The following is a 16,617-nucleotide window of genomic DNA, read 5'->3' on the forward strand; positions in this document are numbered from 1 at the left end:
TCCCCTGGCGAAATGTCCCCACCAGGTGCTCTCAACTCTGGGGTATGACTTCACAGGCCATTTGAGTTCAGATGGGTAAGGCGTGTAGGAAATGAGCTCAAAGGGTAGGATGGATTTTGATGGGGTAAGAAGAGAGTGTTTCTCACTCACCCAAAGCACTGAGCACAGTGTCCCAAACATAATGTGGAGTAAACACGCGCATGCACACGTGCACTTCAGGTGCAGGAGACAGCCTAAGCAGGGGCAGGCAGGCAGGCAGGTATGGAATGTGCATGGAGGGCTGGAGAGTGGAGCTGCTTTTCTGCGGAGATTTCAGGTTAGGTGGAGCACTGAGCTGAATTTTCTAGAAGCTGGATTCCTAAGCCCCAGTTCTGGGCTCTTTCTCTGACCACACAGCTGTGTAGAAGGAAAGGGGCCTGAGTTCTGCCATCTGGGCTAGGAGTCGGTATAGAGCCAGCCAGTTGTAGCATTTCTGATTCCATCTGAATTCCTAACACATCAAAATCAGATTCCATTCTGGACATTCGTTTTTTTGTTGACGCTGTGATTGAGGTCTCATAAAAAGAAGGTGCCATGCCTAGGACAAATGAGGAAGGAGAGGCTCAGAAAAGTTAAATAGCTGTGTCTTAAGTCACAGCCACTCAGTGTGTGAAAAGCCAAGCTGGGGTTTGAACATGATAAAAATACACCATGGCCGCTGGGCTCCAAAGTGCAACCTGCAGCTTCTAAAGGAACTAAAACCTAACTTGTTTCCTTCTCCCCCAGCTCAATCCACTCTCCCCGCTGTAGCAGAGCCATCGCCTCAAGGCAAATTGCATCCCACTGCTCAAAACTGAGCAACTCTTCTCTGGTCTCAGGATAAAAATGGTATGTGTGTCTTGGCTTCACAGACCTCCCTAACCTCACCCCTTGCTCTCGCCACATCACTCGCCATTCTTCCCTCCTGTGACATGGAACTTCAGCCTTGGTTCCATGCCTTGGCCTCCCAAAATGCTGAGATTATAGGCAGTTCCCTAAACAGCCAGCCTCTCAGATGTGGAGGACCTTGATTTGTAAACAAATCACCAGGGGATTTTGATAAAATACAGATTCCAATTCACCAAGCCTGGTTTGGGGGTCCAGGTTCTGAAGCTCTAAGAAGCTCCCAGGTAGTATGAATCTTCCAGGTCCACAGACCACAGGTGAGTAAAGAGGTGCTAAACACACCATGTTCCCCTCACCTTTGACCGCCACCAAACTTCCTTTGATCTGAAACTTTTCTCCTTCCTCCCCAAGGCCCCCTCCTGTATCTTTCACCCGGGTGGTAAGGCTACTTCCTCTCCAGGCCTCAGCTTAGGTGCTGCTGCCTCCCGGAAGTACTCTTAACCCCTTTGAGAATGATTAGGTCATGTCTTATCTGTTAGAGATGCAAATAATCCCAGCACTTTGGGAGGCCAAGGCAGGCAAATCAGCTGAGGTCAGGAGTTTGAATCCAGCCTGGGCAACATGGCAAAACCCCATCTCTACTAAAAATACAAAAATTAGCCAGGCATGGTGATGCACACCTGTAATCCCAACTACTTGGGAGGCTAAGGCACAAGAATCGCTTAAACTTGAGAGGCAGAGGTTGCAGTGAGCAGAGATCGCATCACTGTACTCCAGCCTGAGTGACAGGGCGACACTCTGTCTCAAAAAAAAAAAAAAAAGAAAGAAAGAAAGAAAGAAATGGGTGAAACGGGCCAGGCACAGTGGTTCACACCTGTAATCCCAGCACCTTGGGAGGCCAAGGATCACTTGAGACCAGGAGTTTGAGACCAGCTTGGGCAACATAGTGAGACCCTGTCTCTACAAAAAATACAAAAATTAGCTGGGTGTAGTGGTGCGTGCCTGTAGTCCCGGCTACTCTGGAGGCTGAGGTGAGAGGATCACCAGAGCTGGGGAGATCAAGGCTACAGTGAGCTGTGATTGCTCCACTGTACTACAGACTGGGTGACACAGTGAGACCCTCTCAGAAAAAAAAAAGGAAAAAGAAATGGATGAAATGATAATGATAGGTGGGATTTGTCTTAAAATACTCAAGAAAAAATATGGGAACAGGTACATGAAACAAAAATGGCAAAATGTCGATCATTTTGATTGTTGTTGAAGCTGGGTGATGAATATGTGAGAGCTCATTGTACTATCCTCTCAATATTTGTGTTTGTTTGGAAGTTTTCAAAATAAAAAGCTTTAAAAAAATTTTTAATAGACATAGGGTCTTGCTGTGTTGCCCAAGTTGCTCATGAGCTCCTGGGCTCAGGCAGTCCTCCCACCTTGGCCTCTCAAAGTACTGGGATTACAGGTGTGAGCCACCATACCTAGCCAGAATAAAAAGCTTAAAAAAATGAAGCCTGAGATAAGTGCCTCTCCCATGTACCCCCTTAGGCGACTGTCCTGTCTGCCCCCACCCTACAGCACGTATCGTACTGCCTCATGAGTGTATAGTTTTTCAAGGGCTGAGATTGTACTGTGTTTTGTTCATTTTTCTACACCAGCCCCTAGCACAGTGGTTGGCACAGAGTAAATTCTCAACATATTTTTGTTGAATGATTGAATGAAAATCCTGCCAGGTTATGTTAGTTGGCAGAAAAGAAGCAAATCATTGAAAATGTATGTCGAAATGAAACAACGCATATTGTTCCACCTTATGTAGAGCTGTGCTGCATCTGCTCCTGGAATCCTCTGTAAAGGTCACTGTGTCCCAAGGAAGATTCTGTGTCACATGAGAGAATCCATTTAAATCGTTAAGAAGAAAGCAAATGTAGACACTGGAACTCTGCCATGTATAAGGAAGAAGGGTGAATGGGTATGTGATCCAAAGGTGTTGAAAACAGAGAGTCATTCATTCAATCACCAAATATTGGTTCACTGTCTAAGCTTCAGCTTTGCCTGCAACGCTGGAGACTACTTCTCCAAAGTAGTTACTTGCATGAGATTATATGAATGGAAGCCTGTGTATATTGGCCAAATGAATGAGGCAGAAGTGGGTTTTGCGGGGGGTGGGGTGTTGTTTGTTTTGTGCAGGGATACCCCAAAAGAAAGGGGAGAGAACAGGGCAGTGGGCGAGATGGTGAGATATCTAGGCCCCACCCCAGTGGGACCAAAGGGGTAACTCAGAGCTGGAGGCTAAAGAGCTGACTTTGTAAGACCTGGGGTGTCAGTCTAATGACAGTCTGAGGCAACCCCAGGAACCCCAGGATTCGAGAATGAGCCCTTCTTGGCTCCACTGCCCATACACATCTGCTCAGACCCAGTACTGCTTTAATGTTCTGAGGTCTCTGGGTGACCACCAGCAGCAGGCGACAGGGAAAAAGGCCTGGGTTTTCTGGCCTGAACAATGGGATGAATAGGGATAAACATTGACAGGCATGAGAAATAAAGTGGGAAGAGCAAGCTCAAAGGAGACATAGTGTGTTCACTCACCAAGGCTGTTCACCAGAGAAGCCCCTTTCATGTAAGTGAGAGATACGCTTGAGAAAACCAAAAGAGAGACTCACCTGTTTCCCCCAACAAGCTTCCAGGTCTTGTTATCCTCAGAAGCAGGACCAGGCCGGGCACGGTGGCTCACACCTATAATCCCAGCACTTTGGGAGGCCGAAGCAGATGAATCACCTGCGGTCAGGAGTTCAAGACCAGCCTGGCCAACATGGCAAAACCCGATCTCTACTAAAAATACAAAAATTAGCTGGGCGTGGTGGCGGGCACCTGTAATCCCAGTTATTTAGGAGGCTGAGACAGGAGAATTGCTTGAGCCCCGGAGGCAGAAGTTGCAGTGAGCTGAGATTGTGCCACTGCATTCCAGCCTGGACAACAGAGCAAGACTCTGTCTCAAAAAAATAAATAAATAAATAAGAAGCAGGACCAGAGGTTGGAGCTCTAAACAGAATCAGAAAATCAAGGTGGGTTTCAGAGTCAGGAGAGCCACAGCATCAAGGGAATACAGCCACATCATGGCAAGATGAAAATTTCTGAGGCTGACAGTAAGAAAGGTGAAGTAGGCTGGGTGTGGTGGCTCACACCTGTAATCCCAGCACTTTGGGAGGCTGAGGCACGCAGATCACCTGAGGTCAGGAATTCAAGACCAGCCTGGCCAAGATGGCAAAACCCCGTCTGTACTAAAAATACAAAAATTAGCTGGGCGTATTGGTGCACGCCAGTAATCCCAGCTACTAGGGAGGCTGAGGAACGAGAATCTCTTGAACCTGGGAGGTGGAGGTTGCAGTGAGCTGAGTAAGCTGAGATCGCGCCATTGCACACCAACCTGGGTGACAGAACGAGATTCTGTCTCAAAAAAAAAGAAAAGAAAAGGGGGTGGATGGAATTCTTTGATGGCACATCCCTGACTCAGAGTGGTAAAACTCACATACCGATGACCTTGTGTTCAGTCTTATTCATTTCTCTATGCCAGGTCCCTAGCACAGTGTCTAATGCAAAGGAGGTGCCGAGTCAATGTTTGAAAAATCAATGAATGAGATGAATGCACTTGGAATGGTGTTGATTTTTGCTTTGCCTCCAAGCTAGAACAAATAATTGAGCTCACTCGTATCCATGTTATCATTACTATCCAGGCTACTGTGTTAATATAGCATTTAATAACTCCCTTGTTCTCCCAAACTTTAGGGAAATTGAAGCTTCAGTAATGAGGGAAATTTTTGCTTGATTGTTTTCTGTGGGAAGTCAACCACAGCTCACATCTGGTGCCCTCCATGAAGTCTTCATCATTAACAGGATTTTGTACATTTTCTCCTTTCTGTAAATCCAGACCTTGGAGAAAGAGATCCTCCTCATCTTTCCATTAAGAGGAAGTTTAATTGCATCTAGACTCTGGTTGGTTAGGGCTTGATTTTAGGTGGGCAAAGCAGACTTCAGCAAAATAGGCAGAGCCAAGAGAGGCTCCTGTTGTTTGGGTCGCTGTTTTTAGCAGTGAGGAAAGACCCTGGGGCTAGAAGGATGATTGGTCACTAGGTGTGAACTACACGTTGGAGATTTCATCTGCCTGGGACCTAGCAGATGTCCCCATGAGGTCTTCTTTGCCAGCTACCCCATCCTGTCTTCCAGAGAATGCTGCATCCAGAGGTCTCTTGTCCTCTTTTGCTCCCTGGACCTTATTACTTGATCATCTAGCTCCCAGCTATGTTCCTTCCACTCCCATCCAGGGCTACTGACTTCCACTCTATAAGCAGTAACAGACTGGTGCCTTTCAATCAATAGTCATTCATTTAACAAACATTTATTGAACCCCCAATATGTATCTAGCACTGTTCTAGGCATTGGGAATATAGCAGTAAGTAAGATAGGCAAAATTCCTAACCTCATACAGCTTATATTCCAATGGGGGGAATATAATATATATATATATATATATATATATATATATATATATATATATATATATATATTTTTTTTTTTTTTTTTTTTTTTTTTTTTTTTTTTTGAGTTGGAGTCTCACTCTGTCACCCAGGCTGGAGTGCAGTGGTGCAATCTCGGCTCACTGCAACCTCTACCTCCCGGAATCAAGAGATTCTCCCACCTCAGCCTCCCAGCTAGCTGGGATTATAGGCCTTTTTGTATTTTTAGTAGAGACAGAGTTTCACTATGTTGGCCATGCTGGTCTCAAACTTCTGACCCCAAATGATTCACTCACCTCAGCCTCCCAAAGTGCTGGGATTACAGGCGTGAGCCACTGCGCCCAGCCAAAAAGGAATGCTATATTCTTGCTAAACAAATGAACATGCCCAGAATTTCTGAAACAGGATGCACAGAGCATCCACCTCTAAGAGAGGATGGTTCACTCCAACACTCCCCTCTCTGGCCAGCAACTCGCAACAGGCAAAGCCTGAACCAGGGGAGCCACTATAACAATAAGCACCGCAACAGTGGCTGACTTTAGTCACGTGCCCTACTCCATTAGCCCTCAGAACAGTGTAATGACCACTAGCATTAGACCATTTTGCAGAAGAGGAAACAGAGGCTAAGAGAGATTTAATAACTTGGCCAGGTTCACATAGCTATGCTTTGGCAGCGCTGGAATTGGAACATGGTGAAATCCTGTCTCTACTAAAAATACACTTTGCCCTGCTGCTACACTTTTCAGGGACAGAAAAGGAAAACTATCTCAAGAGACAATGTGCAACGCTGAAATGGTGAAGGAAAAGCTTTTGGGGTAGTGAAGGGGAGCAGATGGCCTGATTCCCCCCCACCCTAAATAGGGTGTGTGTATGTGTGTGAGTGTGCACAGAAACACAGATGCACATACATGACCACACATATGCCCCGAGCCTTCCAACCAGAATCCACAGGCAGCACCATCTCCCTCTCCATAGCCTTTGCTGATCCTTGTTCCTGAAGCTAGAAAGGGAGGAGGGCCCCTAGATGAGTGTCTGAGGGGCATGTCCTCAGGACAGCTCTACTTAGTGACATTTGTAAGACCAGTGCTACAGTTATTTCAAGCAACTATCATTTCCCTTCCAGGATAATCTAAGATGTGATTTTTACTAATGAAATGAAAACTAACACTGAGCATCTATTATGTCCCAGTCACTGTGTTAGGCCCATTTAAATATGAATTATGTATTGTCTCTGACTTTAAAAGGCTCAAGAGAGCCTGCCAACTCCTGACTCCAACCTATTTAGCCATATTGCTTGTGCTTGTGCTTAATTTCTAAATTAAATTGGAATTTCAAGGACCCTGCTGATTGGCAAGTGGAATTACTAAATGATATTTAACCTAAGTGAAGTTGAACATCTCACGACTTCTGGATGGCAAGGAGAAGATCAAGGAGAAGTGGACCAAGAAGCTGGCTCTTCAAATAGCCCCACCCTTACCTTCAGGAAACCTTATGTCTGCTGAACTGGGTGGGAGTTCTGGCCCCTCCTTCCACTAGTTGTCACAACTGGAATGGTTAAAAGCAATGATTCCCACCAGAATGGCTAAAATTTGAAAACTGACAATAGCAAGAGGAGCACCAGGAACTGTCATGCATTGCTGCCAAGAGTGTAAGGTGGTACAGCTACTCTGGACAAATCTTTGGCAGTATTCACTAAACAGGACACACATATACATTATCAGCCAGCAATTCCATGCCTAGGTATATAAGTAAAGTTTGTGCACATGTGCATTAAAAGACATGTATAAGAAGGTTCATCATAGCACTTTTGGTAACAACCAAAACTGAAAACAACCCACATGTCTAGCAAGAGTGGGATGGATAACAACACTGTGGTGTATTTACACAAGGGAGTACTCTAAGCAAGAAGGATAAATGGGCTGAGTGCAGTGGCTCACACCTGTAATCTCAGCACTTTGGGAGGCTGAGGCGGGCAGATCATTTGAGGTCAGGAGTTCGAGACCAGCCTGGCCAACGTGGTGAAACCTCGTCTTTACTAAAAATACAAAAAAATTAGCTGGGTGTGGTGGCCCATGCCTGTAATCCCAGCTACTGGGGGAGGCTGAAGCAGGAGAATCACTTGGACCTGGGAGACAGGTTGCAGTGAGCCGAGATGACACCATTGCACTCCAGCCTGGGCAACAGAGCAAGACTCTGTCTCAAAAAAAAAGAAGGATACTTGGTCTACAGACACATGCTACTATGTGCACAGCTTTCCTAAACATCATGTTCAGTGAAAAAGTCAGATAGGAGAAAAACACAGCGGCATGAACCCATTTACATAGCCATTTATATAAAGTTCAAAAACAGGCAAAAGTCATCTATGTTGCTTTTAAAAGCCAGGGTAGAAGTTACCTTTGAGAAAGACTAAGAAGATAGAGATTGGGAGGGTTAGGTCAGGGTTTCCGGGATGCTGGTAATGTTAACATTTCTTGGCCTGGGTGGCTGTTACATGGGTGTGTTCACTTTGTGATGATTTATTAATCTATAACCTTATGACTTTTAAGCTTTTGTGTAAATATATTCCTCCTATAAATTTTCTAAAAACAATTAGGCTACATCCCAAAAGACAAGGGATAGAGATATAACCTAAAAAGTCAGATATGGTCACAGGCCCAGGGGCAAGGGGAGGTGAGGTTTGCTTCCCAGGATCCCCAGTCTCCCAATATTTACCAAAGGGACTTGTGAAAAAGGCCAGGAATGGGAAAGGGGGTGTCAGGGCCTTTGAGGTGGGTGGGCCAACTACCCAGAACTGCCTTGGCCATACTGCATGACTCTAGGCCTGTAAGCAAGGTTTCTGAGAGGACTGGTCTCCCATCCCTTGCCCTCATTCACATCCCCAAAAGCAACTTTTGCCCTTGGGCCAATGCTAATTTTCTTTCTGAAATGATCATCAGATAAGGTTAGATGCTTCATATGGCCTCAGTTCTTCTACAAAGAAAGGTCAATACTAGTCAGGCGCAGTGGCTCACACCTGTAATCCCAGCACTTTGGGAGGCTGAGGCAGGAGGATCACTTGAGCTCAGAAGTTTGAGACCAGCCTGGGCAACATGATGAAACCCCATCTCTACTAAAAATTCAAAAAATTAGCTGGGCGTGGTGGCACATGCCTGTGGTCCCAGGTACTCAGAGGCTGAAGTAGGAGGGAAAAAAAGAAAAAGAGAAAGGTCAACACAGATAACCCAATCAAAAAATACACTACAGGTTTAGGCCAGGCATGGTGGCTTATGCCTGTAATCCCAGCACTTTGGGAGGACGAGGCAGGTAGATCACCGGGTCAGCCTGGACAACATGGTGAAACCCCGCCTCTACTAAAAATACAAAAATTAGCTGGGCATGGTGGCAGGTGCCTGTAATCCCAGCTACTTGGGAGGCTGAGGCAGGAGAATCTTTTGAACCCAGGAGGCGGAGGTTGCAGTGAGCCAAGATCGTGCCATTGCACTCCAGCCTGGGCAACAGGGCGAGACTCTGTCTCAAAAAAAAAAAAAAAATAGACTACAGGTTTAAACAGGCTCCTCACCAAAGAGGACATTCAATTGGCCAAGAAACATATACAAAGATGCTCAACAGCATTAGTTATCTGAGAAATGAAAATAAAAATTAAAACCGCAATGAGAAACCATTAGACTTCCCCCAGAATAGCCAAAATGAAAAGGACTGACAATACCAAGTGTTGGGATGCAGTGCAACTCTGTATCTTATCCATTGCCTGCTGGGACTGTAAATTGGCCAATCACTTGGTAAACTGCTTGGCAGTATCCAAACATACCCAGCAGTTTTACTCCTGGGAATATACCCAACAGAAATGAGAGCTGTGTCCACATGTTGAAACATCCAGAAGAGAATGTTCACAGCAGCTTTATTCTTAATAGCCAAAAATTGGATTCAACCCAAATGTCCATCACAGGAGGGTGAATAAATATATTGAGGCATATTCATACAATGCAACACAACTCAGCAATACAGAAAAGAATGAGATGCTGCAGCACACATCAGCCTGGATGAATTTCCCATAATGTAGAGTTAAGAGAGGCCAGACGTAAGAGCACGTACTGTGTGATCCCATTTACATGAAGTTCTAAATAGGCAACACCAATCTATGGTGGTACAAGTCAGGACGGCAATCCTTTGCAAGATTGTGAAGTATGAACTGGGACGAGGTGCTGGAAATGTTTTGTGTCTTGGGCGGTGGTTACATTGATGTATATACATGTTAAAGTCCATCTAGTTATACACTTAAGATAGTGCACTTCAGAGGGCATGTGAGTTACACTTCAATAAAAATGTAAGTTTAAAAGAAAGGAAGAAGAAACAAAGGAAGAAAGGAAAGAAGGAAAGAAAGAGAAGGAATAAGTGAAAGGAAGACTGGCAAAATTCTGCCCTCTCATATGAAAAATGGTATAGCCTTTCTAGAAAATAGGCATTTTCTTAAAAAGTTAAAACTTCACCTACTATTTGACCCAACAATCCACTTTTAGGTATTTATCCTAGAGAAAGGAAAACTAATTTGACATAAAAGCCTGTATATAAATATTTATGCCAGCATTGCTCATACTTGTCAAAAACTGGCCACAACCCAAATGTCTTTCAAACTGTTAGGTCTATACAATAAAATACCACTTAGTAAAGAAAAAGAATGGATTTGGGGCTGGGCGTGATGGCTCACACCTGTAATCCCAGCACTTTGGGAGGCCAAGGTGGGTGGATCACCAGCTCAGGAGATCGAGACCATCCTGGCTAACATGGTGAAACCCCGTCTCTACTAAAAATACAAAAAATTAGCTGGGCGTGGTGGTGGGCGCCTGTAGTCCCAGCTACTTGGGAGGCTGAGGTGGGAGAATGGCATGAACCCAGGTGGCAGAGCTTGCAGTGAGCCGAGATCACACCACTGCACTCCAGCCTGGGTGACAGAGTGAGACTCCATCAAAAAAAAAAAAAGAATAAAAAAGAATGGACTACTGATATATGCAACAACATGCCTGAATCTCAAATGCATTACACTGAGTAAAAACCCAATCTCAAAAGGTTACATGCTATATGATTCCATTTTTATGACATTCTGAAAAAGACAAAAATATAAGAACAGAACACAGATCAGTAGTTGCCAGAGTTTAGGAATGGGGGAAGGTCTGAATACAAAGGGGCAGAGTGAGAGAAATCTTTGGGGTGTTAGAATTGTTCTGTATCTTGCCTGAGGTGATAGTTACAAAAGTCTATATCTGTGAAAAATGCATGCAGTGTACACCAAAAAGTTAATTTTACTTTATGCAAATAAAACATTTTTCAAGTAAAAGCTGGCTGGACATGGTGGCTGAAGCCCGTAATCCCAGCACTTTGGGAGGCTGAGGCAGGCGGATCACCTGAGGTCAGGAATTCGAGAACAACCTGGCCAACATTGTGAAACCCCATCTCTACTAAAAATCCAAAAATTAGCCAGGCATGGTGGTGGTTGCCTGTAGTCCCAGCTACTTGGGAGGCTGAGGCAGGAGAATTGCTTGAACTCGGGAGGTGGAGGCTGCAGTGAGCCAAGATCGTTTCACTGCCTTCCAGCCTGGGTGACAGGGTGAGACTCTGTCTCACACACACACACAAAAACCAAAAACCAAAAAACACCCCACCATTTTTCAAATAAAAGCAAAAAAAAAAAAAAAGGAAAAGAAAAACCATCAAACACACAACCCAAAACAAAACTCTGCCCCCCGTCATGGGCTCTGGCCATCCTTCCTCCAAGCTCAAGCAGGAAGAGCAGATGGCAGAGGCCTTTGAGGACTAGGATAGGACCTGGTTGAGAGCAGACATTCATGAGCTTAATTTCTTATCCTACTGTTCATGTGGCTTTGGAATGACCATGGTCCTGTGAAATGCCATTAGCTCACTGTCCATTCTTGTGTCTTTGCCTTTTAATCCTTGGACCTCACCACTCAGAAATAGCTGGAGCTGCCCCAACTCCCCAAGGAAGAACTTGCTCTCTGACATCAAGCCAATGAAGAGTCCCTTTGGGGCACACAGGAGAACTTATCACCCAGTAGATCCTTCTTACCCATAACCCATGGCTCCTCCCAGCTGGTGGGGCCAGGGCCATGAGCTGTTATTCATCCACATAGAGGGAATTATGGAACAGGGCCTTCAAGGTCCCCCTTGATCATACAGTGCCCGCCATGCCCCCACAGGGTCATGGCCCATTGCACCTCAGCCTATATGCACATGCTGGTTGCTTAGCTCAGAACTCCTTTCTCTTTCCCAAGGCTTTGCCCCTGCCCTCCTGGAATGTCACCCTTTCTCCCCCAGATGTGGCACTATCTGTTACCTTGGCTTGTAGAACTTTCTACACCCAAGTTCTACTGATTCTTTCTCCTAAATACCCGCAAATGATCTCATCCTTGCCTGCTTCAGACCTTCAGGCTCTCTTGCCCAGACCATTGCTAGGCGGATAGCTTCTGTGATGCCCTCTCTGCTCTGACCCCACACCTCTTCAATTCCCCTCCTCCTAAAAACCCCTTGGTTCCTTACCTAGGCAGGCACACAAGAACCTGGCCAGGCCCTTGCTGCTTTTCCTGATCCCTACTCCTTCCCAGACACGTCCTCAACACTCCTATAAAACCTGGCCACTTGGGGCTAGGCACGGTGGCTCATGCCTGTAATCCCAGCACTTTGGAAGGCCAAGGCGGGTGGATCACCTGAGGTCAGGAGTTCGAGACCATCCTGGCCAACATGGTGAAACCCCATCTCTGCTAAAAATACAAAAATTACCTGGCCATGGTGGCACATGCCTATAGTCTCAGCTACTCAGGAGGCTGAGGCAGGAGAACTGCTTGAACCTGGGAGGTGGAAGTTGCAGTGAGCCAAGATTACACCACTGCACTCCAGCCTGGGTGACAGAGCAAGACACTGTCTCAAAAAAAAAAAAAAAAAGTCTGGCCACCGGCTCTTCCACTCCTCCATGTCTCTGTTCATACTGATCCCTCTGCCTGGAGTGTCCTTCCCTCCCCTCTGTCCACCTAGTAAACCCCTCATTTTCTTTAGGCCCTACTCCAATCCACCTCTCTGTGAAGCCTTTCCTGACCACAGTGCCCTCCATTCATCTGCCCCAGGAACATTCATTCATTCCACAAGTAGTTATGCCCCACCTATGTGCTGGGAATTAGGACAGTTAAGGACCCTGCTCTTGGGGAGTACATTCATCTGGGCAAGACTGATAATCCTTGCTATATCATCCTGTATAATTTCAGAATGATTAAGGTGAAGGGCTGCAGAATGATAAGACACTCATGGCGGCCTTGCTGAGGGGATGCCAAGTAAGCAGATACCTGAGGAGTTCCTCCTAACCCTCCGTGTCCTGAGCACTCTGCATTCTTTTTTTTTTTTTTTTTTTTTTTTTGAGACAGGGTCTTGCTCTGTCACCCAGGCTGGAGTGCAGTAGTGTGATCTCGGCTTATTGCAACCTCCACCTCCCAGGTTCAAGCGATTCTCCCACTTCAGCCTCCCAAGCAGCTGGGACTACAGGTGCGTGCCACCGTGCCAGGTTAATTTTTTTAGGCTGGAGTGCAGTGGCGCAATCTCAGCTCACTGCAACCTCTGCCTCCTGGGTTCAAGCGATCCTCCTGCCTCAGCCTTCCAAGTAGCTGGGATTACAGGTGTGCACCACCATGCTAGGCTAATTTTTGTACTTTTAGTGGAGACAGCTGTCACCATGTTGGCCAGGATGGTCTCAAACTCCTGAACTCAGGTGATCCACCTGCCTCGGCCTCCCAAAATGCTGGGATTACAAGTGTGAGGCACCGTGCCCGGCTGTGAGCATTCTGCATTCTTTATGGTCTCTCCTTGGGAGGGTTGTGAGACTTAACAAATAAAAACATTGCATAGGACATACTTATACCAAAAAATTGTTCTTGAAATTCAAATTTAATGGGACCACCTGTGTTTTATCAGGCAACCCTACCCCTAGGACTCACTGCCCTGTGAGTTCAGAGAAGGAGCACCCTCAGGGCCCAGCACTGTGGCTGGCTGCAGTAGGCACTCAATAAACACTAAAAGAATGAGCCATTAAGCAGATGCATGAGCAGCACTTGCTAAGTTGTACTGTATTTTGCATTTGCTTGCTGACTCCCCACCTGCATCGCAAGCCCCTGCTTGCTGCGCAGGCAGTGTTAGATGGCATCCTCTGTACCTAATGCAGCCTGAGGAGTGGTTTAGGGAGAATGTATCTGCCTCTTACCATCTATTAGTGCCTCCCCTACTACCCCAAGTAATAATCAAATATGAAAAACAATTTTAGAATGTGGCAATATATGTAATGACATGGAAACTGAGAAACATTTTCTCAATCATATGTACATGAATAAAAACACCTTTGGAAAACTTTGCTATATTTATAGGCTGCAGTGTATAATCTATGAAAAAACTGCTTCCATCTAGTGCCCTAGCTACCCCTTTCCAACCAGACAGCCTCTACGAAACCCTTCCTCTTTTGGAATCGTGGAGCTGGCAAAAAGAGCTGACCAGTAGATGTCTGTTATACAAATGATGGCAGAATTTTACTGTGATTCTGGGCCTATGTGTCAATCTTCCCACTGGACTGGGATCCTGCACAGGCCAGCAAGGTGTCCTTATTGTCCCCAGGCCCAGCATGCAGCAGCAGCTCAGGAAATGGGGATTGAAAATCTATCAAGAGCCACATCTCATAGTTGACGTTAAAGCTTCCCCGAAGGAAGGCTGGTTCAAATGCACACCCCATGTTGCCCTCTGGAGATCAGCAATCCCATCAAGGCCCAGCCCAAACCACACACTGGCAAGCAGCCCAGAAAGGGTGTGGTCCAACTGCCCCACAAGTCCTGTGAATAAGCCCGGTCTTCACTCCCAGTTCATAAAAGGGCCACTGTCCCAGGGCAGCCTCAGCTCCTGTTGGTTTCAACTCAGAAGGAGAATGTTGTTGCTTGAGCCTCTTTTGAGCTTTAAAAAGGACAAGGAAAGGCACTGTACGGAGTGTTTTACTTTTGACTTTTTTTTCATGACTACAAACTGTTGGATATTGAAAACCTTGCATTTACTTGTGAATTGCCAGTCTGTGTTTGCGTATGGAGGAAGGTAAGATTTGCAGGGCTGGAATTATTTTCATTTTCCTTGTAAGTTTCTCCAGTACTTAGCTTTTCATTGAGCATTCTATATTTATTTCTGTGTCATTATGTCATTCTTTGGTGCATTTTATAACCTGTGATGCTGAAAGCTGCCTTCCTTCACATTGTGGGCTAGAGTCAGATAGGGCAATACAGTCACACAGCATCCACCAGAAGTTAGTGCCATGGAACACAGTCCTGAATAAGCACACCAATTTGCTACAAGAATGATCACAGAAAGACTGTGTATAATAGTATCAAAGAATAATTCAAAGACATAGGGTTAATTATTAGGGCACCATTTACTTGAATACAAGGGAAACCAAAAATAGCTTTATTTCATATATCAGAGCCAAAATAAGAAATAGGAAAAGAGGAGAAAGGAGAAAAATGAAAAACTGCAGACGTGTGAAAGATAATGAACTTTGCCTTTTCTTGAGTAAGCTGCTGATTAGCAGGCAGCTAGCTAAGAAGGCCAGAGGGTGTTCTGCCCTTGACATCTGGATGAATCATCAAAGAGGATAATTCCAGTTGCTTATGGATTCTCCAGGAGCCCTTGGAGTGGAACTGTGCTGTATCTGTGACAAGTTCCCTCTGTGTCACATGTGCCTGGGTCCTGGGAGAACACCTCCATCTCTGTTATGCCTCTCTGCCCTATGACCTTTATGTAAAAAGTCTCAATGTAAGCAGCCTAAATGTCTAACTTAAAAGGAACCAGCTAAACAAACCTCAGTATAACCTCAGCATGGAATACCAAAGATCTTTTTTTTTGAAACTGAGTTTCACTCTGTCGCCCAGGCTGGAGTACAATGGTACAATCTCAGCTCACTGCAAACTCCACCTCCCAGGTTCAAGCGATTTTCATGCCTCAGCCTCCCGAGTAGCTGGGATTATGGGTGCCCACCATCACGCCTGGCTAATTTTTTTATTTTTAGTAGAAGCGGGGTTTCACTATGTTGGCCAGGTTGGTCTCAAACTCCTGACCTCAGGTGATCCTCCCGCCTCAGCCTCCCAAAGTGCTAGGATTGCAGGCGTCAGCCACCATGCCCGGCCCCAAAGATCTTTTAAAAATGTTGTGATTTAAGAAAATGTTGTAGTAAAAATATGTAATAATGTAGAAGTTGTTCATGATATACCATTAAGTTATGAGTTTGTGGGGACACACTCATTCCATAGCATTAAATCTGTATCAGTCAAGGTTCTCTAGAGAAACAGAACCAATAGGATCTATGTATACATATATCTCTAGAAAGGGACTTATGAGAAGGTATTGGCTCACGTGAATATGGAGGTTGAGAAGTCCCACAATCTGCTGTCTGCAAGCCGAGGACCCAGGAAAGCTGGTCGTATAACCTGAGAGCCAGAGGGCCGATGGTATAGATTGCAGTCCAGATCTGAAGGCCTGAGAAGCAGGGGTAGCAACGGCAGGGGAAGATCCATATCCCAGCTAAAGTAGTCAGAGATCACATATTCAACCTTCTTCTACATTTTTGTTCTGTTTATACCCTGAACAGATTGGATGCAGTCCACGCACAGTGGGGAGGGCCATCTGCTTGACTCAGTTCACCAATTCAAATGCTAATCTTTTCCAGAAACACCCTAACAGATATATCTAGAAATAATATTTATCTGGGCATCCCATGGCCCAGTCAAGTTGACACATAAAATTAACTGTTGCCATAATCCAGTGGGGAGAAAATGGTGCCTGAACATGAGCAGTGGTTGGGTGGCTGGAAGGAAGGAGATGGATTGAGAACTCTCTAGCAGCCACAGTTGGCAGAACTTGGTGCTAATCAGAGGTGGGGGTGAGAAAAATGAGTCTAAGACAACTGATGATTTTGGTTGGATGACTGGTGGTCACATTAAGTGAGACCCTTTCTTTCTTTCTGGTTTTTTTTTTTGTTTGTTTGTTTCTTTTTTTTTTTTGAGATGGAGTTTTGCTCTTGTTGCCCAGGCTGGAGTGCAATGGCACGATCTTGGCTCACCGCAACCTCTCACTCCTGGGTTCAAGTGATTCTCCTGCCTCAGCCTCCCGAGTACCTGGGATTACAGGCATGTGCCACCATGCCCAGCTAATTTTGGATTTTTAGTAGAGATGG

At 45.5% G+C, this 16,617-nt stretch overlaps 1 protein-coding gene across 1 annotated transcript in view, besides 1 other annotated feature; it reads left to right on the forward strand.

Annotated features, from left to right (window-relative positions):
* Positions 13,915-14,426: a transcriptional cis regulatory region, noted in NCBI's record as "candidate enhancer chr1.10033 targeted for multiplex CRISPR interference". NCBI's record gives its function as "positively regulates FAM20B gene expression with high confidence in K562 cells {active_cell/tissue: K562}" and the evidence as "EXISTENCE:mutant phenotype evidence [ECO:0000015][PMID:30612741]".
* The window catches only part of FAM20B (FAM20B glycosaminoglycan xylosylkinase), a 59,234-nt gene continuing 56,915 nt past the window's right edge, over positions 14,299-16,617 (forward strand). The window contains exon 1 of the mRNA XM_047436093.1: positions 14,299-14,489. The gene's annotated coding sequence lies outside the window, so the exon portion shown is untranslated. The remainder of the gene's footprint in view (positions 14,490-16,617) is intronic.

Source organism: Homo sapiens, chromosome 1 (genome assembly GCF_000001405.40).
Source record: "Homo sapiens chromosome 1, GRCh38.p14 Primary Assembly".
Taxonomy (NCBI): Eukaryota; Metazoa; Chordata; class Mammalia; order Primates; family Hominidae; genus Homo; species Homo sapiens.